This window comes from Homo sapiens, chromosome 7 (assembly GCF_000001405.40).
Source record: "Homo sapiens chromosome 7, GRCh38.p14 Primary Assembly".
NCBI lineage: Eukaryota > Metazoa > Chordata > Mammalia > Primates > Hominidae > Homo > Homo sapiens.
The window spans coordinates 73,847,335-73,869,837 of record NC_000007.14 but is presented as its reverse complement, the minus strand read 5'-3'; the positions used below and the strand labels follow the sequence as shown (position 1 = coordinate 73,869,837).

The 22,503-nt window shown below is 50.8% G+C and overlaps 1 protein-coding gene across 3 annotated transcripts, besides 4 other annotated features; it reads right to left on the bottom strand.

Moving 5' to 3' along the window:
- Window positions 1-3,947: 3,947 nt before the first annotated feature.
- Window positions 3,948-8,990, bottom strand: TMEM270 (transmembrane protein 270). 3 transcript variants are annotated; one of them, XM_017011741.2, is made up of 3 exons: window positions 8,761-8,990; window positions 4,417-4,845; window positions 3,948-4,261 (listed from the first exon to the last, which is right to left on the bottom strand). In XM_017011741.2, the coding sequence occupies exons 2-3, from the start codon at window positions 4,624-4,626 to the stop codon at window positions 3,965-3,967; spliced, it is 507 nt and encodes a 168-aa protein (XP_016867230.1). In that variant the 5' UTR covers window positions 4,627-4,845; window positions 8,761-8,990; the 3' UTR covers window positions 3,948-3,964. The 3 variants fall into 3 exon arrangements, with proteins under 3 accessions (XP_016867230.1, NP_872310.2, XP_011514087.1); NM_182504.4 differs by lacking the exon at window positions 8,761-8,990 and adding an exon at window positions 8,572-8,679; XM_011515785.3 differs by lacking the exon at window positions 8,761-8,990 and adding an exon at window positions 8,247-8,288.
- Window positions 13,630-14,129: an enhancer, noted in NCBI's record as "H3K4me1 hESC enhancer chr7:73270039-73270538 (GRCh37/hg19 assembly coordinates)". NCBI's record gives its function as "activates a minimal SCP1, AML or CMV promoter by ChIP-STARR-seq in primed H9 embryonic stem cells {active_cell/tissue: H9 hESC(primed)}" and the evidence as "EXISTENCE:reporter gene assay evidence [ECO:0000049][PMID:30033119]".
- Window positions 13,649-13,708: an enhancer, noted in NCBI's record as "active region_26133". NCBI's record gives its function as "activates an Ori minimal core promoter by ATAC-STARR-seq in GM12878 lymphoblastoid cells {active_cell/tissue: GM12878}" and the evidence as "EXISTENCE:reporter gene assay evidence [ECO:0000049][PMID:35858748]".
- Window positions 13,829-14,038: an enhancer, noted in NCBI's record as "active region_26132". NCBI's record gives its function as "activates an Ori minimal core promoter by ATAC-STARR-seq in GM12878 lymphoblastoid cells {active_cell/tissue: GM12878}" and the evidence as "EXISTENCE:reporter gene assay evidence [ECO:0000049][PMID:35858748]".
- Window positions 18,251-18,310: a silencer, noted in NCBI's record as "silent region_18269". NCBI's record gives its function as "represses an Ori minimal core promoter by ATAC-STARR-seq in GM12878 lymphoblastoid cells {active_cell/tissue: GM12878}" and the evidence as "EXISTENCE:reporter gene assay evidence [ECO:0000049][PMID:35858748]".

Genomic DNA, 22,503 nt, shown 5'->3' with positions numbered 1-22,503 from the left:
CAGGGGGTGGGACCACCCCTCTGCTCAGGGGAACCCTCTTATTATGTATCCCCTCATTTCCTTTTCTGTCCAGTCCCCCCATCCTGGGCGCCAGGATCCCATCCCCAAACCCTCCCGACCCTGATCTCTCCCCGAAACTCCCGCTGCTCTGCGTGGACTTCACCAGCCCCTCCCCCATCCTTCAGTGCGCACTTTGACAGCCCCTAACACCGCAGCCTTTCCTGGGGTTGGGATGAGGTCAGGATGAACCGGGGGACAGGGAGAGGCCTGCAAATGAACCCCTCGCCCGGGAATGTGGGTTCCAGGGCTCCGGGAGGTGGAGAGGGTCTCAAAACAAGAGGCGGGGGGGTCAGGGAAGGGCCAGGAACTCGGGCCGGGGCCTGCGGGCAGACTGAGGAGGGGGGCCCTTACAATCACAACGGGGCAGCCAGGGCCCTGTGTGTCTTGGCGAAGTGGGACCCCTGGCCCGCCAGGTATGTAACAATTCCAGCCATTTCCTGCCCTATTAATGAAAAAGGGACTGATATAAATACACGCTCAGCATAAATAAATACAGGCCAGGCCCAGGACTGCATAGCAGACAGATTGCGTGAAGCTGCTGGCTGGCCTTGCAGCCAGCTCCCCCCACCCTGCCCATGCCCCGTCCACCCCCTGACACCGGCCACCAGTTGTTTTCTTCCAGCAGGCCAGGGCCCCTCCATGCTCACAGGCCTGAGACAGACGGACTGACTGCTCCCACCCCGGGCCTCAGAAGCTGCAGCCCCCAGAAAGGCAGCAGGCCTGGGAGATGGGGAGCCAGGGAGTGGGGTCCCAAGAGCCTCCCATGCCTGCTCTGAGCGGGGACCGCACGTGCACAGACCAGGCAACAGCCCTGTGACATCTGGGGTGTTGTGATTATACCCTGATCACAGGAGGGGAAACTGAGGCTCTCAGGGTTTAGTAAATTGCCAAAGGTTACACAGCTGAGAGGTTGTGGATCCAGCATCCAAACCCAAGGCTCTCTGACCCCAAGGCCTCTGCTGTGCCCACCATTGTGAGTGGCAGCCGAGGGGAGATTCTGGCCTTCTCCCTTTCCCCCAGGATGCCAGAGACCTTGGAAGGCCGGAAGAATTCAAGTCCTAGAAGAGATCTTGCAAAAGCAGCAATAACTCCAGGACAGGGGATTCAGGGAGCCAGAAGTCAGCCAGTGTAGGGCCTTATTGGCAGGCTGCGTAGACAGGGGGACTGCTCCTCTCCTGCCCCACCCCACCTCTTACCTGGGCACTGAGGAACAAGGCCTGGCATCAAGGAACCCCAAATGCTGACTCTCGGCCAGCCGCAGTGGCTCACACCTGTAATCCCAGCACTTTGGGAGGCCAAGGTGGGCAGTTCGTCTGAGGTCAGGAGTTTGAGACCAGCCTGGCCAATATGGTGAAACCCCGTCTCTACTAAAAATACAAAAATTAGCCAGACATGGTGGCGCTCGCCTGTAGTCCCAGCTACTCGAGAGATGAGGCACAAGAATTGTTTGAACCTGGGAGGTGGAGGCTGCAGTGAGCGGAGATCATGCCACCGCACTCCAGCCTGAGTGACAGCGAAACCCTGTCTCAAAAAAACAAAAACCAAACCAAATGCTGACTCCCTTATCGGGGATCACCCCACCCATCCCGCATTGCACAGACATGGGAACCGAAGTCCAGAGTGGGCAAAGAGAGCCTCATCCAAGGTCACACCCAGTGACCTAGGCGGGCAGAGGCAGAGGCAGAGGCACAGAATCCAAGCTTCTGTCCCCAAGCCCAGATCTTCTCCACGGGGCTTGGGCCACATTCCTGTCCATCCCCACTTTGGCCCCAAACTGCTCTGGGGCCTCCTCCTTTCCTCCAGTCCCTGCCTCAGCAAAGAGCTGACATCACCTACTCCTGCACTCATGCTTCCCTGAAAGCTGTGTGTATGTTCTAGAATCCCAGTCATGTTACCCCTCTGACCAGGTGCTTATAGGTCCTTCCTGGTACATGTTCTACCTCGTTGGCCAGATGGGACCCCTCAGATGTCCCTCCTAGAGCAGGACAGCCTTGCTGCTTAGACTTGGAGGAAGGGTCTGGAAGTTCACCCACATCCACCCTGAGCTGTAAGGGAGGCCCTCACTGAGCTGGGAACCCGAGTGGAGAAGAGCCACGCTCACACCACCACCCTCTGGCTTGGGAGTAGGTGAGAGGTAACTGCAAACACTCAAGAAACCATCCCTTCCCCTCTCAGCAGAATCACTCACCTGAAGGCTGAGTCTTGGGGATTGGAAGCATCACAGCCTGAGCTGGCACAGCAGCATCAGCCACCCATGCAGCAGGACCCTGTGTCCTTACTCACAGGTTAGGGGAGTGCTGAGATACTGGATAGGTTTCCCCTTTCCCCAGGGAGACAGATGGCTCTTCAACAGATAGCGGGTGAGTGGGTGTGGTTGGTTCTGTGGATGAATGGATGGGTGGGTGGGTGGGTGGATGGATGGATGGATGGATGGATGGATAGATGGATGCATGAATGGGTGGATGAATGGGTAGATGAATGGGTGAGTGGATGGTTAGGCAGATGGGTGGCTGAATGGATGGGTGGTTGGGAGGATGGATGGATGGATGGGTGAATGGATCAGTGGATGGATAGATGGATGGATGGATGAATGGATGAATGGATGGATAGATGGGTGGATGGATGGGTGGATGAGTGGGTGGATAGATGGATGGATGCATGAATGGGTTGATGAATGGGGAGATTAATGGGTAAGTGGATGGGTAGGCAGATGGGTGGGTGAATGGATGGGTGGGTGGGTGGGTGGATGTATGGATAGGCAAATGGACCAGTGGATGGATAGATGAATGGGTGGATGGATAGACGGATGGATGGATGGATGCATGAATGGGTGGATGAATGGGTAGATGAATGGGTGAGTGGATGGGTAGGCAGATGGGTGGGTGAATGGATGGGTGGTTGGGAGGATGGATGGATGGATGGATATATGGGTAAATTGATCAGTGGGTGGGTAGATGGATGGATAGGTGGGTGTGTGGATGGATGGATGGATGGATGGATGGATGGATGGATGGATGGATGCACGAATGGGTGGATGAATGCATAGATGAATGGGTAATTAAATGGGTAGGTAGATGGGTGGGTCAATGGATGGGTGGTTGGGTGGATGGATGGATGGATAAATGGATCAGTGGATGGATGGATGGATGAATGCATAGGTTGTTGGGTGATGATGGATGGATGGATGGATGGATGGATGGATGGATGGATGGATGGGTGGATGGGTGGAGGGATGGATGGGTGGATGTGTGAGTAGATGGGCAGGTGAATGGGTGAGTGGGTGAATGGATTGGTGGGTGGGTGGATGGATGGTTCTGTGGATGGCTTTGTGAGTGGGTGGATAGGTGGATGGATGAATGGCCAAGTGCATGAATGAATGGGCTCCTTGAAGCCTGGCTCACAACTGTTTCTCAAAGCTTTCTAAATCTCTGAAATGTGAGGCCCTGGCACCCCCCAGAGGCCAAAGTCTCTAACTGCCCATCTCCCCTAAAGCCCTGGGCACCAATACTTCTGAGAACCAGGGGCACGCACCTAGAGAAAGTTAAGGATTCTGGGAAACAAAAAATCTAGAGACCCAGTGCTGGTTCTGCCCTTGACAGACTGTGACCTTGGGAAAGTTCAACCTTCTGAGGCTCAATTTTCTCAGCTGTAAATGGTGCTAATCAAACCTGATGCCTGTGTTGCTAGGAGATTTAAACCAAATTATGAGTAAATTGTCTGAGATGTTTGATATCTGGCCCATAGAAGATGCTGACGGAAAGTGATTTCCTTCCCAGAGGCAGTCCTGGGCTCACATGCAGGCACACACATGCACATCACTCACACAACATCTCTCCAGCCCATTAGGGAAGAGGGAGTGAGACCATAGGCTAGGCCAGACCAGGAGAGGCAGATGGGGATACATTTATTCTCTGGGAGTTTCTTGCTCTGGCAAAACTGTTCCAGACTCTGAGTCCGAGGACGCAGACAGTGAGGGCAGCAAGGAAGACCCTGAGACCTCCTGGGGTTCAACCTCCTGGGCCTCGGCCAGCTGGGTCGTGTGCTCAAAGGCAGCCTGCAGCAGGTGGGAGGCCAGGCAGGTGGTCCAGGTGATGAGATAGGCCAGGTGCCAGGAGGTGAGGGCAGTCATAGTCTCCACCCACCAATACAGACGTCTCAGCTGTACCAGGAGCTTCCTTACCACGCAGTTCACTTGCAAGGCCTGGAACAGGGAGACAGATGGGCAGGTGGCCCTTAGGAGCTCATAGGGTTACACTGCTTGGCTGTGGCTCCCCCCTGCAAGCCCAGCCAGCCCTGACCACACCCAGTACCCCAGGTTTGCCCTCCACACCCCAGCCTCACCCCGAGACCACCCACCTTACTGAGCTGCCTGCCCAGTCGGAAGCAGTGGGACTTCTGACACACCCTCCAGGTCACTACCACCAAGAGCAAGGCCACCAACATCAGGCCGTGCAGACATGACAAAAACAGATCTGTCCAGATGGCCACAGACAGGCCCAGCTGCTCCCAGGCACTGAGCAAGGCCAGGCCCAGGCCCTTGGTGCTGCCCCACATGCCAGCCCACATCAGCCTGGGTCCCTGTAGCACCAGCCATACGGGGACCTGTATCAGAGCCAGCCCAGCCCAGAGAGCCTGGCCCAGGGGGCAGGCTGCAGCTCCCAGGGGTAGGTGGGCCTGCCAGTTACAGGACCCCCGGGCCTCCTGGGCCAGCCCTGACACCCAGTGGTTGAAGAGGTTGATCTTGAGGAGCAGGAAATTATAGAGGTGATCTCGGTTCTGAACCAACTGCAGAAGAAGAGAGAGAGACAACCGTCAGCCATCATCACCCTCCTGGGACAGGAACCCCACTTTTTCTTTTTCTTTTTTTTTTTTTTGAGACGGAGTTTCACTCTTGTTGCCCAGGCTGGAATGCAATGGCGCTATCTCGGCTCACTGCAACCTCCACTTCCCGGTTTCGGGCGATTCTCCTGCTTCAGCCTCCTGAGTAGCTGGGATTACAGGCGCCTGCCACCACACCTGGCTAGTTTTTGTATTTTTAATAGAGATGGAGTTTCACCATGTTGGTCAGGCTGGTCTCGAACTCCTGACCTTAGATGATCCACCCGCCTCAGCCTCCCAAAGTGCTGGGATTACAGGCGTGAGCCACTGCGCCTGGCCAGGAACCCCACTTTTACTGTAGAGGTGAAGCTGCTGGACCACCTTGAGTCAGATCCCCATCTCAAGGCCTCAGCTCCCCACAGGTGCAAGGATGAACTCTGTCCACTTTGAAGGACTCCCTTCTGAGAAGGGAACATTAGAAGGTGTTTCATATTGTATTTGGGTTCCTTTCCATTGGATATTTTTTTTTAAGAAACAGGATCTCACTCTGTTGTCCACGCTGGAGTGCAGTGGTGTCATCATAGCTCACTGCAGCCTTGACCTCCCACACTTAAACAACCCTCCCATCTCAGCCTTCCAAAAAGCTGAGACCACACAAGTGCATGCCACCATGCCTGGCTAATTTTTTTTTTTTTTTTTTTAAGAAATGGAGTCTTCTTATTATGCCTGGGCTGGTCTTGAACTCATAGGCTCAAGCAATCCTCCCCCCATTAGCCTCCCAAGTAGCTGGAGCTATAGGTGCATCTCACTAAGTCCAGCTAATTTTTTTTTTTTTTTTTTTTTTTGTAGAGGCGGGGTCTTGCTATGTTATCCAGGCTGGTTTCGAACTCCTGGCCTCAAGCAATCCTCCTGCCTCAGCCTCCCAAAGTGCTGGGATTGCAGGCATGAGCCACTATACCTGGCCTCCATTGGATTTAAATGATTATTTACAATACTCCAGACTGAAGGAGGTTTCATGGCTATTATTACCATGTTACGATCCCCCACCCCAATCCTGTGGGCTTTGAACCCAGGTCACTTGTCTTCTTCCAAGTAGCTGGGCTTTGCCTCTGTACCAGTTGTCCCCTGGCATCAGGAGGGCTGCTGGGGCAAAGGACAATGCCATTAGGGGCAGGGAGGCGTGAGAGACATGGGGCAGGGGTCACATAATTCACGACAGACCTAATGAGAAGGGTGAAGGAGAGAGATCCAGAAAGACTTCCAGATTTCCAGCCGGACATGGTGGCTCACACCTGTAATCCCAGCACTCTGGGAGGCCGAAGCAGACGGATCACCTGAGGTCAAGATTTCGAGACCAGCCTGGTCAACCTGGTGAAACCCCATCTCTACTAAAAATACAAAAATTAGCTGGGCATGATGGTGCATGCCTGTAATCCCAGCTACTCGGGAGGCTGAGGCAGGAGAATTGCTTGAACCCAGGAGGCGGAGGTTGCAGTTTGCCCAGATCGTGCCACTGCACTCCAGCCTGGGTAACAGAGTGAGACTCCATCTCAAAAAAAAAAAAAAAGAATTCCAGATTTCTGATCTGGGTGGTGAGTTGGACAACGGTGTCTCCCATTCACTGAGATGAAGCTGCAGGACTGGGGTGAGGTGGGGGAAAGCTGTTCTTGAGTCCTGGAGACCCTTCATCAGAGCTGGAAAGCCCCCAGCCCTTGAGTGACACCAATCCACCCACCTGGACCCCCCATCCCCGTGTCCACAGGCCCCACCATCTGAGATTGGCTGCAAGACCCCCCACTCACGGGCTGGATTTGCAGAGCTTGGGACGTGGAGGGTGGAGCTATGCTGAGACCAAAGGGTCCAGCAGGGAGAAGAATTAGGGTAGAGCTAGGAAATAGGACCTCCCAGGTTATGGTGCTGAGACCAGGGAGGAGGGAAACCTATGATATCCCACATGATCCCACAAGATCATTTCTATAGGAGAGGAAACGGGCTCAGAGTGGTGAAGTGATTTGCCCAAATTCACACAGCTAGAGGGTAAAACAGCCAAGATGCAAATCTTTTTTTTTTTTTTTTTTTTTTTTTTTCTGAGACAGGGTTTTGCTCTTGTTGCCCAGGGTTGCCCAGGCTGGAGTGCAATGGTGGGATCTCGGCTCACCGCAACCTCCGCCTCCCAGGTTCAAGCGATTCTCCTGCCTCAGCCTCTTGAGTAGCTGGGATTACAGGCATGCACCACCACGCGTGGCTAATTTTGTATTTTTAGTAGAGACAAGGTTTCTTCATGTTAGTCAGGCTGGTCTGGAACTCCTGACCTCAGGTGATCTGCCCGCCTCGGCCTCCCAAAGTGCTGGGATTACAGGTGTGAGCCACAGCTCCCGGTCCCAAGATGCAAATCTAATGGTGTCTGTCTTTCTCAACTGCCCCCTGTTATATGATCTTGGCTGACTGCAGCCTTGGCCTCCCAGGCTCAATCTATACTCCCACCTCGGCCTCCTAAGTGTGACTGAGTTGTGACCCCGACCACAAGCATGTGTATGTTTAAAAGAGATGAATGGGCCAGGTGCGGTGGCTCACACCTGTAATCCCAGAACTTTGGGAGGCCGAGGTGGGTGGATTACGAGGTCAGGAGTTTGAGACCAGCCTGGCCAATGCGGTGAAACCCTGTCTCTACTAAAGATACAAAAAATTAGCTGGGCGTGGTGGCGCACGCCTGTAATCCCAGCTACTTGGAAGGCTGAGGCAGGAGAATTGCTTGAACCTGGAGGTGGAAGTTGCAGTGAGCCGAGATCGCACCATTACACTGCAGCCTGCGCGACAGGGCAAGACTGCATCTGAAAAAAAAAAAAAGAGAGAGAGATGAATGAGCCAGGCGCAGTGGCTTATGTCTGTAATCCCAGCACTTTGGGGAGCTGAGGCGGGCAGATCACAAGGTCAGGAGATCGAGACCATCCTGGCTAACAGGGTCTCTACTAAAAATACAAAAAAAAAAAAAAATTAGCCAGGGATGATGGCACGTGCCTGTAGTCCCAGCTACTTGGGAGGCTGAGGCAGAAGAACTGCTTGAACCCAGGAGGCAGAGGTTGCAGTGAGCCGAGATCGCACCACTGCACTCCAGCCTGGGCAACAGAGCGAGACTCTGTCTCAAAAAAAAGAAAAAATGAATGGGAAAAACAATGATTCACCCATAGGAGTGACCCTCAATAGAGAAAATGCTGCCAGGTGCGGTGGCTCACACCTATAATCCCAGCACCTCAGGAAGCTGAGGTAGGAGGATCATGTGAGGCCAAGAGTTGGAGACCCGCCTGGGCAACGTAGTGAGACACCATCTCTACAAAATACAAAAATTAGTCAGGCGTGGTGGTGCACACCTATAGTCCCGGCTACTTGGAGGCTGAGGGGGGAGGATTGCTTGAGACCGGGAGTTGGAGGCTGCAACGAGCTGAGCCGGCACCACTGCGCTCCAGGCTGGGCGACAGAGCGAGACCCTGTCTCTAAATAAAGAAAAGAAAAGAAAATGTCAGCACTGTAGTTTGGAGTGGGGCTTCTGGGAGATGTCAGATTATTCTGGAAGGCAGGCAGCCACCTCGTTCCACTGGATGGGACAGGCAGGGCTTGGGCCCGGCAGCTCTGAGGTGGCTCTGTGAAGGGCCTGGTGTGTGGTCCCCACCCCACTTACCCCCAGCCCCCACTCACCAGCACTGAGAGCCTCGTAACCTGCAACAGGATCCCCAAAAGGCTGGATCTGACTGGAGGAAGGGCCTCCATGTCTGGCCTCCCCCACCTACTCCAGCTGGGAGAAGCAGGGTGACCTCACAGATGCCACAGGGTGGGGACCAAGTTACCATGGGGACCCGGTTGCCGCCAGTGACCCACTGCCTTTACCTGGCTCCTGCCGCTCCACTGCTTCCTCTGAAACCTCAGTCCACGTCTGAGCCCAACACGGCCAAGGAGGTCTTAGAGCAAAGCTTCCTTCGGGTCGGATTTCCCCAGATCTTGGAACAGGAATCAAGTGCCGCCTAGGAACGGGGTTCATGCCTGGATTCCCAATGCTTTGGGAGGCCAAGGTAGGAGGATCGCTTGAGGCCAGGAGTTTGAGACCAGCATGGGCAACATAGCAAGACCCTGTCTTACAAAAAAACAAAAAAAGAAAAAAATTAACCAGCCTTGGTCATGCACACCTGTAGTCCCAACTACTCAGGAGTCTAAAGTGGGAGAATCGCTTGAGCCCAGGAGATAGAAGTTGCAGTGAGCCAGGATCACTCAAGCCTGGGTGACAGAGCAAGACCCTATCTCTAAACAAAGAAAAAAAATTGAAGGGTGATGAGTTTATTTGGGGAGTGGGCCCTGCAAGCATCCATAGGAAGTCAGAAAGTGAGGCAAGGGGCCAGGCACAGTGGCTCACACCTGTAATCCCAGCACTTTGGAAGGCCGAGGCAGGCAGATCACGAGGTCAGGAGTTTGAGACCTGTTGGGAACAGGCCCCCAAAATCTGGCCATAAACTGGCCCCAAAACTGGCCATAAACAAAATCTCTGCAGCACTGTGACATGTTCGTGATGGCCATGACACCCACGGTGGAAGGTTGTGGGTTTACCGGAATGAGGGCAAGGAACACCTGGCCCACCCAGGGCGGAAAACTGCTTAAAGGCGTTCTTAAACCACAAACAAGAGCATGAGTGATCTGTGCCTTAAGGACATGCTCCTGCTGCAGATAACTAGCCAAACACATCCCTTTATTTGGGCCCAATCCCTTTGTTTCCCATAAGGGATACTTCTATGGGAATCTAATCTAATCTATAGTTAATCTAATATCTATAGAAACAATGCTAATGACTGGCTTGCTGTTAATAAATACGTGGGTAAATCTCCGTTTGAGGCTCTCAGCTCTGAAGGCTGTGAGACCCCCTGATTTCCCACTTCACACCTCTTTATTTCTCTGTGTGTGTGTGTGTGTGTGTGTGTGTGTGTGTGTGTGTTTAATTCCTCTAGTGCTGCTGGGTTAGGGTCTCCCCAGCCAAGCTGGTCTCAGCAGAGACCAGCCTGACCAACATGGTGAAACCCCGTCTCTACTAAAAATACAAAAAAAAAAAAAAATTGGCCTGGCATGGTGGCGTGCACCTATAATCTCAGCTGCTCAGGAGGCTGAGGCAGGAGAATTGCTTGAACCCAGAAGGCAGAGGTTGCAGTGAGCTGAGATCATGCCACTGTACTCCAGCCTGGGCAAGAGAGTGAGACTCTGTGATAAAAAGAGGGAAGGGGAGGGGAGGGGAGGGGAGGGGGAGAGAGAGAGAGAGAGAAAGAAAGAAAGAAGAAAGAAAGAAAAAGAAAGAAAGAGAAAGAAAAAGAAGGAAAGAAAGAAAGAGAAAGAAAAGAAAGAAAAAGAGAGAAAGAAAAAGAAAGAAAGAAAGAAAAAGGAAGGAAGGAAAGAAAAGAAAGAGAAAGAAAAGAAAGAGAGGCAAGGACAGATGAGTTCATGAGCAGGGTTTGAGTTCAGACAACCGGGGCTGATCCCCAAAATCCCCTGGAAAATGGTGCAGAACGCACCTCAGAGTCACCCCACCCAAGGAGCATGAATACTGGGGTATTTATCTTCCATGACCTGTCTGCTTCCTGTTGGACATTAACTCCCGCTGAACCTCCAATCTTACCAGCACAAACACCAGAGAAAGCCCTCCAGCAGATGGTCGGGTGGGGGTCTTGCAGCAGGCGGCTCAAGCAGTGTGCATGGAAACTAAGGCAGAGGACTCTGGGGTAGGGACAGCAAAAAGGAATCCAGAACAAATAAACCCCTAGACATGTGATGATGGGAGCCTTGACCAGGGCTGAGGCCCTGGAAATGGAGACAACAGATGCCAGAAATCTGTAGCAGGTACAACAGATAGAATTGGAGGATGTCAAGACCCACGATGATCTGAGACGTTGCCCAATTTCATGCTAACAAGTTAGCCAACCAGAGCTCCACAGCTGCCACAGGAAGACATGAGACTCCCAGGTCAGAGATCAAAGACAATGTTACTCATGGCAATAGCAGTGAACTAGGTTATAAGCATTTTCCATTCATTCCTTGAGCTCCAAATCCCACAGGGTGATATGACAAGGGCCAGATGATGCCTGGCAGTATCTGAGGTGGGTGTGTTACAGGAGAGGTGGCTTGAGTTTAGGGAACCCAAATCTTTTCTTTTCTTTTTTTTTTTTTTTTTTTTTTTTTGAGATGGAGTCTTGCTCTGTCACCCAGTGCAGTGGTACAATCTCGGCTCACTGCAACCTCCACTTCCCGGGTTCAAGCAATTCTCCTGCCTCAGCCTCCCAAGTAGCTGGGATTATAGGCGCCTACCACCATACCCGGCTACTTTTTTGTATTTTTAGTAGAGACAGGGTTTCTCCAGCTTGGCCAGGCTGGTCTCAGACTCCTAACCTCAGGTGATGCACCCGCCAGCGCCTCCCAAAGTGCTGGGATTACAGGTGGGAGCCACCTCGCCCAGCCTTCTTTTTTTCTTTTTTTGAGATGGAGTCTCACTCTGTCGCCCAGGCTGGAGTGCAGTGGCACCATCTCCACTCGCCGCAACTTCCGCCTCCCAGGTTCAAGCAATTCTCCTGCCTCAGCCTCCCGAGTAGCTGGGATTACAGGCTCGCACCACCAAGCCCAGCTAATTTTTGTATTTTTAGTAGGGATGGGGTTTCACCATATTGGCCAGGCTGGTCTCGAACTCCTGACCTCAGGTGATCCGCCTGCCAGCGCCTCCCAAAGTGCTGGGATTACAGGCATGAGTCACCGCGCCTGGCCAGGAAACCCAAATCTTTTCTAATGTGCAGTAAGCAGGGCTGCCTTTTGCCCCAGAAGGAGACATTATGTCTTCCAAGGTTGTCTGATATACAGATATCCTAGAAAAGAAAGTCCAGGGCAAAAGGCAATCCATTAGTGCCTCACTCACAAGACATACAGAAATGTGAAAGACACATAGACAGAGGCATCCCAACAGAGGAATGAACAGGAAAAGAAGTAAAGCGAGACAGGGGTCAGGGATACCCCCAACCCAGAAGACTTGAGTGAAAGGCAGAAAGTAGCGCTGCCCACCAAGTGGGGGCGGGGAAGAGAAGGAGTAGGTTTGGGGAGAGAGGCAAAGGGATTGCTGGGGGTCAGAAGGTGGTGGCTGAGCCGGGTGCAGTGGCTCACTCCTGTAATCCTAGCACTTTCAGAGGCCAAAGCAGGTGGATCACTTGAGGCCAGGAGTTCAAGACCAGCCTGGGCAGCATGATGAAACCTGGTCTCTACCAAAAATATAAAAATTAGCTGGGTGTAGTGGTGCATCCCTGTAATCCCAGCTACTCAGGAGGCTGAGGCAAGAGAATCTCTTGAACCCGGGAGGCAGAGGTTGCAGTAAGCCGAGATCAGGCAACTGCACTCCAGCCTGGGTGACAGAGCAAGACTCCATCTCAAAAAAAAAAAAGAAGGGAAGGAAGGAAGGAAGGAAGGAAGGAAGGAAGGAAGGAAGGAAGGAGGGAGGGAGGGAGAAAAGAAAAGAAAAGAAAGAGAGGTGGCTGAGACTGGGATTTGCAGTTTGTTTTCCCTCCTCTCTTTGGTTTGCCACCACCATCACCTGGTATCCCTGTCCCCAGAACTCCACTGCCACAGAGGCTGAGCTGATATCTCCAGCCTCATACTGACCACACTCCCCGTGGTCAGTGTGGGAGCTAGAGCAGAAGAGACCTCACTCTGTCCCACAGCCCCTATGGGCAGCCCCATGGGAATGCTAGGCACATGTCTCAGTCCCAGCTCTAGTCACCTGCCCTTCCCTGCCCCCACCAAAGCCCTGGTCTTAGTCCCCAAGCTAGACTCCAGCCAGGGCTCTTTGTGGCTCTGTGGCTGCCCAGACCACAGGAACAGGTGCCCACAGAAGCCTGGATACCTAGTGTCAGAGGTCAGGAGCCTCCACTGGGGTGTGAAACCGACTCAGGATGTCCCCTAAGCTAACTGAGGGAGAGCAGTCCCAACCACGCAGGTCCACAAGCCAGAAACCCCGGGATCACCTTCTCATCTTCCTGCCTTCTCCCCTTCCTGCCAAGCCACTTCTGAAGGCAAGGGCCACGAACCTGCCTCACTGCTGCATCCCATGCCTAGAACGGTGCCAGGGGCACAGAAGGAGCTCTGTGTAAATTTGTTGAATTAAGAAATGAAAGCTGGCTGGGCACAGTGGCTAATGCCTGTAATCCCAGCACTTTGGGAGGCCAAGGCTGGTGGATCACCTCAGATCAGGAATTCTAGACCAGCCTGGCCAACATGGCGAAACCCTGTCTCTACTAAAAATACAAAAAAATTAGCCGGACGTGGTGGCACGTGCCTGTAATCCCAGCTACTCAGGAGGCTGAGACAGGAGAATTGCTTGAACCTGGGAGGCAGAGGTTGCAACCAATGAGCCAAGATCATGCCACTGCACTCCAGCCTGGGTGACAGAGCAAGACTCTGTCTCAAAAAAAAAAAAAAAGAAGAAAGAAAAGAAAAGAAAAATGACGGCTGGGTGCAGTGGCTCAGGCCTGCAATCCCAGTGCTTTAGGAGGCAGAGGTGGAAGGATTGCTTGAGCCCAGGAGTTTGAGACCAGCCTGGGCAATATAGCAAGACCCCATCTCTACAAAAAAATTCAAAAATTAGCCGGGCATGGTGGCATGTGCCTGTGTTCCCAGCTACTCAGTAGGCTGAGGCAGAAGGATCGCTTGAGCCCATGAGGTCGAGTCTGCAGTAAGCCTGATTGCACCACTACACTCCAGCCTGGGTGACAAAGTAAGATCCTGTCCAAAAAAAAGAAAGAAATGAATAACGGCCCTACCTACCAGGTTGCACCTGAAGGTAGCAGGACCTGCTGTGGGAGGAGCCTCCAACGTAGATCAATCAACTGGGAGCCTTGAACCCTCAGTCCAAAGCTTCCCCCCGCTCGCGCCCTTCTCTTTCTTACTCAGCACCAGGTTCAAGGCCATCCATGCACCATTGCTCTGTGTGGCTTTGGAGTTTCACTTTGCAGGGCAGCAGGGAGGACCAGGCGGGAAACCCCAGTTATCAGTAGCCGCTGCCTTGCACAACGCCGCGGGGAGTGGGGCGCCGTTCACCGGCCTCTGCCCTTCTCCGCCCCAGGACCCAGGATGAGAGGAGAAGCAGGAAGCCCACCTCTGAGGTCTGCCAGCCTGGGTACCCATCGGCTCTCAGGTGCGCCCCCTGAGGGTGCAGGACTGCAGCGCGGCCGCACGGGGGCAGCAGACACCGGGGCGCGCCTGGGCGCCCCGCGCTAGTGGGTGGAGAGTTCCCAAAGACTCGCTTGGTCCCCAAGCCCTGCGAGGCCGGTTTCCCGGTAACAGCAACGTCGCGTCATCCCCAGGAGTTTGCCCTGTGCAGGTCTCGTCATGCCTGGGTTGCTGGAGGCAAAACCACGGAGAAATGATCAGGACCAAAATCTTTTTTTATGTCATGTTCCTAAGTTAAAACTTCATTTCGTTTCAAATCTTCACTTTTTTTTTTTGCCAAAAAATACGCAAAAAGGATAAATATGTCTGTATACTTATTGGAGCTTGGTGTTTCTTCTTTCTGTTTTTTGTTTTTGTTTTTAAATATTTTAGAGAGGGGGATCTTGCTATGTTGCCCAGGTTATCTGGAACTCTTGGCCTCAAATGGTCCTCCTGCCTCAGCCTCCTGAGTAGCTAAGCTACAGGCATGCGCCACCATAACCGGCTATTTGTGTTTGTGTGTGTGTGTGTGTGTGTGTGTGTGTGTGTGTGTGTGTGTGTGTGTAGAGATGGGGTTTCACTAAGTTGCCCAGGCTGATCTCAAACTCCTGAACTCAAGGGATCCTCTCACCTCAGCCTCCCAAAGTGCTGGAATTACAGGTGTGAGCCACCACTCCTGGCCTGCATTTTTTCTTTCTGAAGATGGTTTTACCCAAGCCAATTACATGCGAAAATAATGATCAAAAAGCAATGAAAGTATGAAGGACCGGATCCTGGTTAAAGAAATAGATTCAGAGATGACAAACTTGGGTTTGAACTGAGCTGCTACAAGAGCTCCTGCCCCAAATTTCATTATCTGTAAAACTGGAAAATACTTAGAACCAGGCAGGGAAAGTTGCGGGGAGAAACCAATGAAATAGAGCCTGTGAGGGGCAGCGTATGGGAGCTGATAAGTAATGAAGTCGGTATCTGTGAAGGAAAAGGAACTCAAGAATTTTTCAAAACAAAATAAGCTACAAATGGGACAAAATTGCTTTCAAATAAGTGCAAACTTGTAAAAAAGAAACCACTCAGGGTGCAAAAATTTTATTAATTCACAAACCAATGTGTGGAAATCATTATTGCAACCAGTTTTCAGGCAATTCACTTGGACATGATTTTCACCCGACATGGAAATTCACATGGGAATTCACATGGAATTCACCCGACATGATTTTGAAATTTGAATTTTAAAAAGCTCACTGCCAAATGTAAAGAAAAATCTTTGCTTCCTTAAAATTAATTCAAAAATTTTTGAATAAAAATGAATGGAAATACTTTAAAAATGTTTTAAAAGGGATATAAAGTCGTCAAACCATCCCATGGTTCAAAAACATTATTCATCCCAAAATAAAGTGCCGAGAAATGGACAAAAAAGCATAAATGCAGGCCGGACACAGTGGCTCACACCTGTAATCCCAGCATTTTGGGAGGCTGAAGGAGGATCGCTTAAGCCTAGGAGTTCAAAGCCAGCCCTACAGCATAACAAGACCCCTGTCTCTACCAAAAAAAAAAATACAAAAATTAGGCAGGAGTGGTAGTGAACACCTGTAGTCCCAGCTACTCAGGAGGCTGTGGTGGGAGGATTGCGTGAGCCCAGGAGGTGGAGGCTGCAGTGAGCTGTGTTTGCGACACTGTACTCCAACCTGAGTGACAGAGCAAGACTGTGTCTCAAAAATAAATACCTAAATAAATTTGAAAATAATCAACATATAACAAAAAGCAATGGAAATTATTCATAACATTCACCAATTCATTTATCAACCAATTTGTTCAGAACCAAACTTTTTAGACATTTGTTTTCTGCCAGCTCACCTAGACCTTTCTCTGCGACATTCTCCCAGCACCCCTGCCCCATCCTCATCCACTCCCTCTTTCTCTAGTTGCTCTTTTTATTTTTGTTTTTGTTTTGTTTTGTTTTGTTTTGTTTGAGACAGTCTCACTCTATCACCCAGGCTGCAGTGCAGTGGAACATTCTTGGCTCACTGCAACCTTTGCTCCCAGGTTCAAGCGATTCTCCCACCTCAGCCTCCCGAGTAGCTGGGACTACAGGCGCACACCACCAGTCCCGGCTACTTTTTGTATTTTTAGTAGAGATGGGATTTTTACCATGTTGGTCAGGCTGGTCTTGAACTCCTGACCTCAGGTGATCCACCTGCCTTGACCTCCCAAAATGCTGTGATTACAGGCATGAGCCACCCCGCCCAGACTCGCCTCAGCTTCTTGAGTAGACTACAGATGCATGTCACCAAGGCTGGCTAATTTAAAAAAAAATTTTTTTTTTGTAGAGGCAGGATCTTGCTATGTTGCGCAGGCTGGTCTTCAACTTCTGGCCTCAAGCAATCCCCCTTCTTCAGCCTCCCAAAGTGCTGGAATTACAGGTGTGAGCTACCACGCCCGGCATCTACCTGCTCTTTTGTCTCATGTCCTAAAGCAAATGTTTCCAGGACATTTCCTAGGGTTTCACAAAGTTAGAAATAAAATAAGAAAAAATAAAATGTTCCTCAAAGCCCCCTCACCTCTCTGTTTAAACCATACTGTGGGTCGGGCACAGGGGCTCACACCTACAATCCCAGCACTTTGGGAGGCCAAGGCAGGTGGATCACCTGAAGTCAGGAGTTCGAGACCAGCCTGGCCAACATGGCGAAACCCTGTCTCTACTAAAAATGCAAAAATTAGCCGGGTGTGGTGGTGCATGCCTGTAATCCCAGTTACTCAGGAGGCTGTGGCAGGAGAATCGCTTGAACCTGGGAGGCGGAGGTTGCAGTGAGCCAAGGTCACGCCACTGCACTCCAGCCTGGGTGACAGAACAAGACTGTGTCTCAGAAAAATAAATAAATAAATAAATAGTAAACCATATTGTTGAAAGAAGTCCTGCAGCCCCTCACGGCCACCACCAGCCACCGCCACTGCCCTGGCCCAAGTCACCAAGCAAAGCCAAAAGCTGTGAGAGCCTGGGGGAAATGTTTGCAACGCTGCAAACAGTATCCACAATCTGAAGTATCCAAGGAACTCTTACAAATCAGTAAGATAAAATTAAATGACCCACATGGAATTTTGGTTAGCCAGAAGGAGTGAGTTCAAGACATGTGTTGTACATCACACTAACTATAGTTGATAACAATCTCGTGTACACTTGAAAATTGCTGGCTAGGCACTGTTGTTCAAGCCTGTAATCTCGCTCAGCACTTTGGGAGGCCAAGGCAGGTGGATTGCTTGAGCTCAGGAGTTGGAGACCAGCCTGGGAAGCATATTGAGACCTTGTCTCTATTTAAAAAAAAAAACGCAAAAATTAGCCAGGCATGGTGGCACGCACCTGTGGTCCCAACTACTTGGAAGACTGAGGTAGGAGGATTTCTTAAGCCCAGAAGGCAGGGGTTACAGTGAGTGGAGATTGCACCACTGCACTCCAGCCTGAGCAACAGAACAAGATCCAGGCAGGAGGGAGGGAGGGAAGGAAAGAATGAAGGAGGGAAGGCGGGAAGGAGGGAAGCAGGGAAGGGAGGGAGGGAGGGAAGGAAGGAAGGGAAAAGAGAGACAGAAAGAGGGAAAGGAAAGGAAAGGAAGAAAGGAAGAAAGAAAGAGAAAGAAAGAAAGAAGGAAAGGACGGAGGGAGGAAGGAAGGGAGGGATAAAAGAGAGAAAGAAAGAGAGAGAGGAAGGGAAGGAGGAAGGGGGAAGGAAGGGAGGAAGGAAGGGAGGAAGGATGGAAGGAAGGGAGGAAGGTTGCCAAGAGAGTAGATTTTAAATGTTCTCACTGCAAACTAATGATATGAGTATGTGAGGTGATGCATAAGTTAAAGGGCTTGCTTAGTCATTCAACAATACATCCCTATATCAAAATGTCATGTCATACACCATTAATATATACGGTTGTTCCTTGTCAGTTAAAAATAGGGAAAGGGAAAAAAATCAAACGACCCAATGGAATACAACAGCAAAAGCCATTCACAGAAAAGGAAACTCCAGGAGCCAATAAACTGATGGAAAGAGGTTCAACCTCATTAGTCATTAGGGAGGAATGCACATTGAAACCACAGTGAGATATGATCTCACCCTCATTTGCAAAAACAAAAAAGTCTACAGCACACGTGCGTTGATGACTCTGTAGGCTAACCAGAGTCTCAGACACTGCCTGTACCCTGATTCAGTAGTGCCCTTCTGGTTTTTAGTCTCTGGGTGCCACCCATGGTAAGAATTGTATTAAACAGCCTGGACGCAGTGGCTCACATCTGTAATCCCAGCACTTTGGGAGGCCAAAGTGGGAAGATCGCTTGAGGCCAGGAGTTGGAGACCAGCCTGGACCACATAGGGAGACCCAGTCTCTATGAAATATTTTTAAAAATTAGCTGAGCATAATAGTGCATGCCTGTCAACTCAGCCACTCAGGAGGCTGAGGCAGGTGGATCACTTGAGCCCAGAAGGTTGAGACTGTAGTGAGCTAGGATTGTGCCACTGCACTCCAGCCTGGGCGACAGAGTGAGATCTTGTCTCTAAAAAGAAAAAAAAAGAAAAAAAAAGTATTGCACAAAGCTGTTCATTAAACACACATGTGAAACTGAAGCAAGAGCCTAACAAAACAATAATTACTCCTACTACATGCAGTATGCTCTTCTAATATCTGTTCATTCTATTTCACAACCAGCTGAATTGTTTTCACTACCCTCCAGTGGGTTAAAGCATTCCTTCCAGAAACATCCACTTGTGAACAAAGAGACATGTGCATGGCAATGTTATTTCCTATCCCCAGGAAAGGGGAGCTGTATCAGCTGGGTGTGTCAGCTTGAGGCTTGAGGGATGACTAAGCGGTGGTGAAAACGAACCCAGTCCGCAAGCATCAACACAGAAAGAGCTCATAAATGGCTGGGCATGGGGGCTCATGCTGGTCATCCCAGCACTTTGGGAGGCCAAGGCGGGCAGACCACTTGAAGTCAGGAGTTTAAGACCAGCTGGGTAACTTGGTGAAATCCCATCTCCACTAAAAAGACAAAAAATTAGCCGGGCCTGGTGGTGCATGCCTGTAGTCCCAGCTGCTCGGGAGGCTGAGGCAGGAGAATCGCTTGAACCCAGGAGGCGGAGGTTGTAGTGAGCCGAGATCGCGCCTCTTCACTCCAGCCTGGGCGACAGAGCAAGACTCCATCTCAAAAAAAAAAAAAAGCCACTGAAGCAGAGTTGAAGGAAGAGTGGGGCAACATGGCAAAACCCCACCTCTACGAAAAATACAAAAAAAAATTAGCTGGGTGTGGTGGTGCACGTCTGTAGTCCCAGCTGCTCGGGAGGCTGAGGTGAGGGGATTTTCCCGGCTGGAAAATAGTGCAAAGGCCCTGTGATAGCCTTGGCACAGTCCAGGAACAGCAGAGGCCAGAGTGGCGGATCAAGGAAAAGAGACGCTACAGATAAGGAGAGGAAAGAAGCTGGATTTTAGGTTTTAAGCAGGGGCGTAAACTCATCAGATGGATACTGTAAAAACGCCACTCTGGCTGGGCTCAGTTTGTTAACTATTGAAACGCTCATGAAGAAATACATGGGGAGTTATTACACTAGTCTCTTCTTTTGTGTGTGTTTGAGATTTTCTTCTTCTTTTTTTTCTTTTAGTTTTTTCAGACAGAGTCTTGCTGTGTTGCCCAGGCTGAAGTGCAATGGCGTGATCTTGGCTCACTGCAACCTCTGCCTCCCCGGTTCAAGTGATTCTCCTGCCTCAGCCTCCCAAGTAGGTGGGATTACAGGCATGCACCACCATCCCTGGATAATTTTTGTACTTTTAGTAGAGACAGGGTTTTGCCATGTTGGCCAGGCTGGTCTTGAACTCCTGATCTCAAGTGATCCACCCACCTTGGCCTCCCAAAGTACTGGGATTACAGGTGTGAGCCACCGCACCTGGCTGGTGTAGTTTGAGTCCACAGGATTTGCTGATGAACAGGGTGCGAGATGGGAGAAAAACAGCTTGAGCTGAGCCCCTGAGTGCAAGGTGGTTCAGGGGCATTTGCAGAGACGGGCCCTGAAGAGGAGCAGATTTGGGAGTGGAAAGAATCACTCTCGGGTCTGGGCTCGTTGCCAGACCTGTGGCCTCCAAGGAGATGTCAGTTTCATGGCTGGGTGAACAAGTCCAGAGTTCAGGGGAGAGCCAAGACTAGAAGTCATCAATTTGGGAGTCACCCACAAATAAACAGTATTTAAAACCACGGGACTAGATGAGATCACCTAGGAAGTGGGTGTACACAGAGAAGGAAGAAGACCCAGGACAGAGCCGGGGGCCTCTCCTAAGCTTAGAGGTAGGAGAAGAGCAAGGAGGAGGCGGTGAAGAAGATGAGGTAGGAAGAAAACTCCAAGGAAGGGAAGTTGCCATCTGGTCCTCAACAGCCCCCACACCCCATCAGCACCAAGGTCACCCCCTCCTCAGCAGCCCCTGACTCTTGACACTCCAGCTCTTGCCAAGTAACTGCAACAGCCTCGGAACTTGCGGTTCACCCAGCTGGCTCTCCCTGCCGCCTTCTGGAGCCATCTTGGTAAAATGCAAATCTGAAGCCACAACTCCCCATTACACATTCAGGGTTAGAAAGCACGTCCATAGACCAGGCGTGGTGGCTCATGCCTGTAATCCCAGCACTTTGGGAGGCCGAGGCAGGCAGATCACCTGAGGTCAAGAGTTTGAGACCAGCCTGGCCAGCGTGGCAAAACCCCATCCCTACTAAAAATACAAAAAAAATTAGCTGGGCGTGGTGGCACATGCCTGTAGTCCCAGCTACTTGGGAGGCTGAGGCAGGAGAATTGCTTGAACCCAGAAGGCAGAGGTTGCAGTGAGCCAAGATTGCACCACTACACTCCAGCCTGGGCAACAGAGTGAGACTCCATCAAGAAAGGAAGGAAGGAAGAAAGGAAGGAAGAAAGGGAGGGAGGGAGGGAAAGGAAAGGAAAGGAAAGGAAAGGAAAGGAAAGAAAGAAAGAAAGAAAGAAAGAAAGAAAGAAAGAAAGAAAGAAAGAAAGAAAGAAGGAAGGAAGGAAAGAAAAGAAAGAAAGAAAAAGAAAAGAAGGAAGGAAGGAAGGAAGGGAGGGAGTCCATAGCCTGGGGACCAAGCTCTCCATGGCCTGGGTCCTGCACACATCAAAATGGACACCTGTAACATTCCCCGCTCATCACACAGGTGCACATGAAGGAACACACGCCCTCACACCCCAGGAGCAGCACAGGAGCCCGCACTGTGGCAGGCCAGGTCTCCCCAACAACTGTTTCAGTACTGACTGAGTGGTTAATTTAAATATTAAAAGCCAGTGCCCTTATACAAAGGCTGGGATGTAACAAAAGCCCACCAAGAGTTTTGCCCAGGCCTTTCCTGGGCCTTAAATCACGACAAAATAATGAAGGAATTCTTAACAGGACCATTTAGAATTAAGCAAGTTTTATTTTGGGTCTGAAGAAACTCCCCAGGCCTCCACAAACAAATTTATTGGCGGTCTGAAGGAACTCCTCAAACCTCCATGATTTAGCAGGAGATAACAGGAATCACCCCAGCACCTGGACCCATTTAGATAAGTAAATTTACTGAGGTTCCAGAGGAAGAGCTTCGGGACTCAGACCTTAGTCATGGATTAAAAGAAATTAATCACTTATGTCTTCAGATGAATGCACACTTACACATAGACGTATAGCTTAGAAGGTGTATAAGCTCTGGAAAACTTTGTAACTTTGAGTTAGTCGGGTGATAATTTCCACGCCTTCTCCCTGTAAACGGTTACAGAAATAAAAACTCTCTTCCTCCCCAGTTTGTGTGCATCTCGTTATTGGGCCACAAGAAGTAGCAGCCCGACCCTCAGTTTGGTCTGGGAACAGTACCACAAGCCATTCTCCCCTCCCTCCTTCCTGGATGGAAAGCTCACACCCCACACCTGAGCCTCAAAGTGCCAGATCACAGTTTCCCAGCTTCTGTGGCTTCTGGAAATACCCTCCTCCCATAGAAAGAAAGAGAAAGGCCAGGTAGGTTCCTCACACATGTAATCCCAGCATTTTGAATGCCAAGGAGGGAGGATGGCTTGAGCCCAGGAATTGGAGACCAGCCTAGGCAACATAGCAAGACCCCATCTCTACAATTTTTTTTTTTTAATTAACCAGGCTTGGTGGCAAGCACCTGGAGTCCCAGCTACCCAGGAGGCTGAGGCAGAAGGATTGCTTGAGCCCAGGACGTAGAGGCTGCAGTGAGCTAGGATTGTATCACTGCACTCCAGCCTGAAAACAGAGCAAGACCCCTCTCAAAAAAATAAAATTAAAATTAAAAATATAAAGGACAAAAGGGAGAGAGGGAGGGAGGAAGGGAGGGAGGGAGGGAGGGAAGGAGAAACAAGGAAAAGCTCCTGCCATTCCTAGCCTACTTTGGGCTTTGTT

Excerpts from the sequence above, each read along its gene's own strand:
- TMEM270 (NM_182504.4), bottom strand. The coding sequence starts at position 8,643 with ATGGAGGCCCTTCCTCCAGTCAGATCCAGCCTTTTGGGGATCCTGTTG. Across the intron at positions 4,846-8,571 it reads TTACGAGGCTCTCAGTGCTG|TTGGTTCAGAACCGAGATCA; the intron begins GTGAGTGGGGGC and ends CTTCTTCTGCAG. Across the intron at positions 4,262-4,416 it reads TGGGCAGGCAGCTCAGTAAG|GCCTTGCAAGTGAACTGCGT; the intron begins GTGGGTGGTCTC and ends TCCCTGTTCCAG.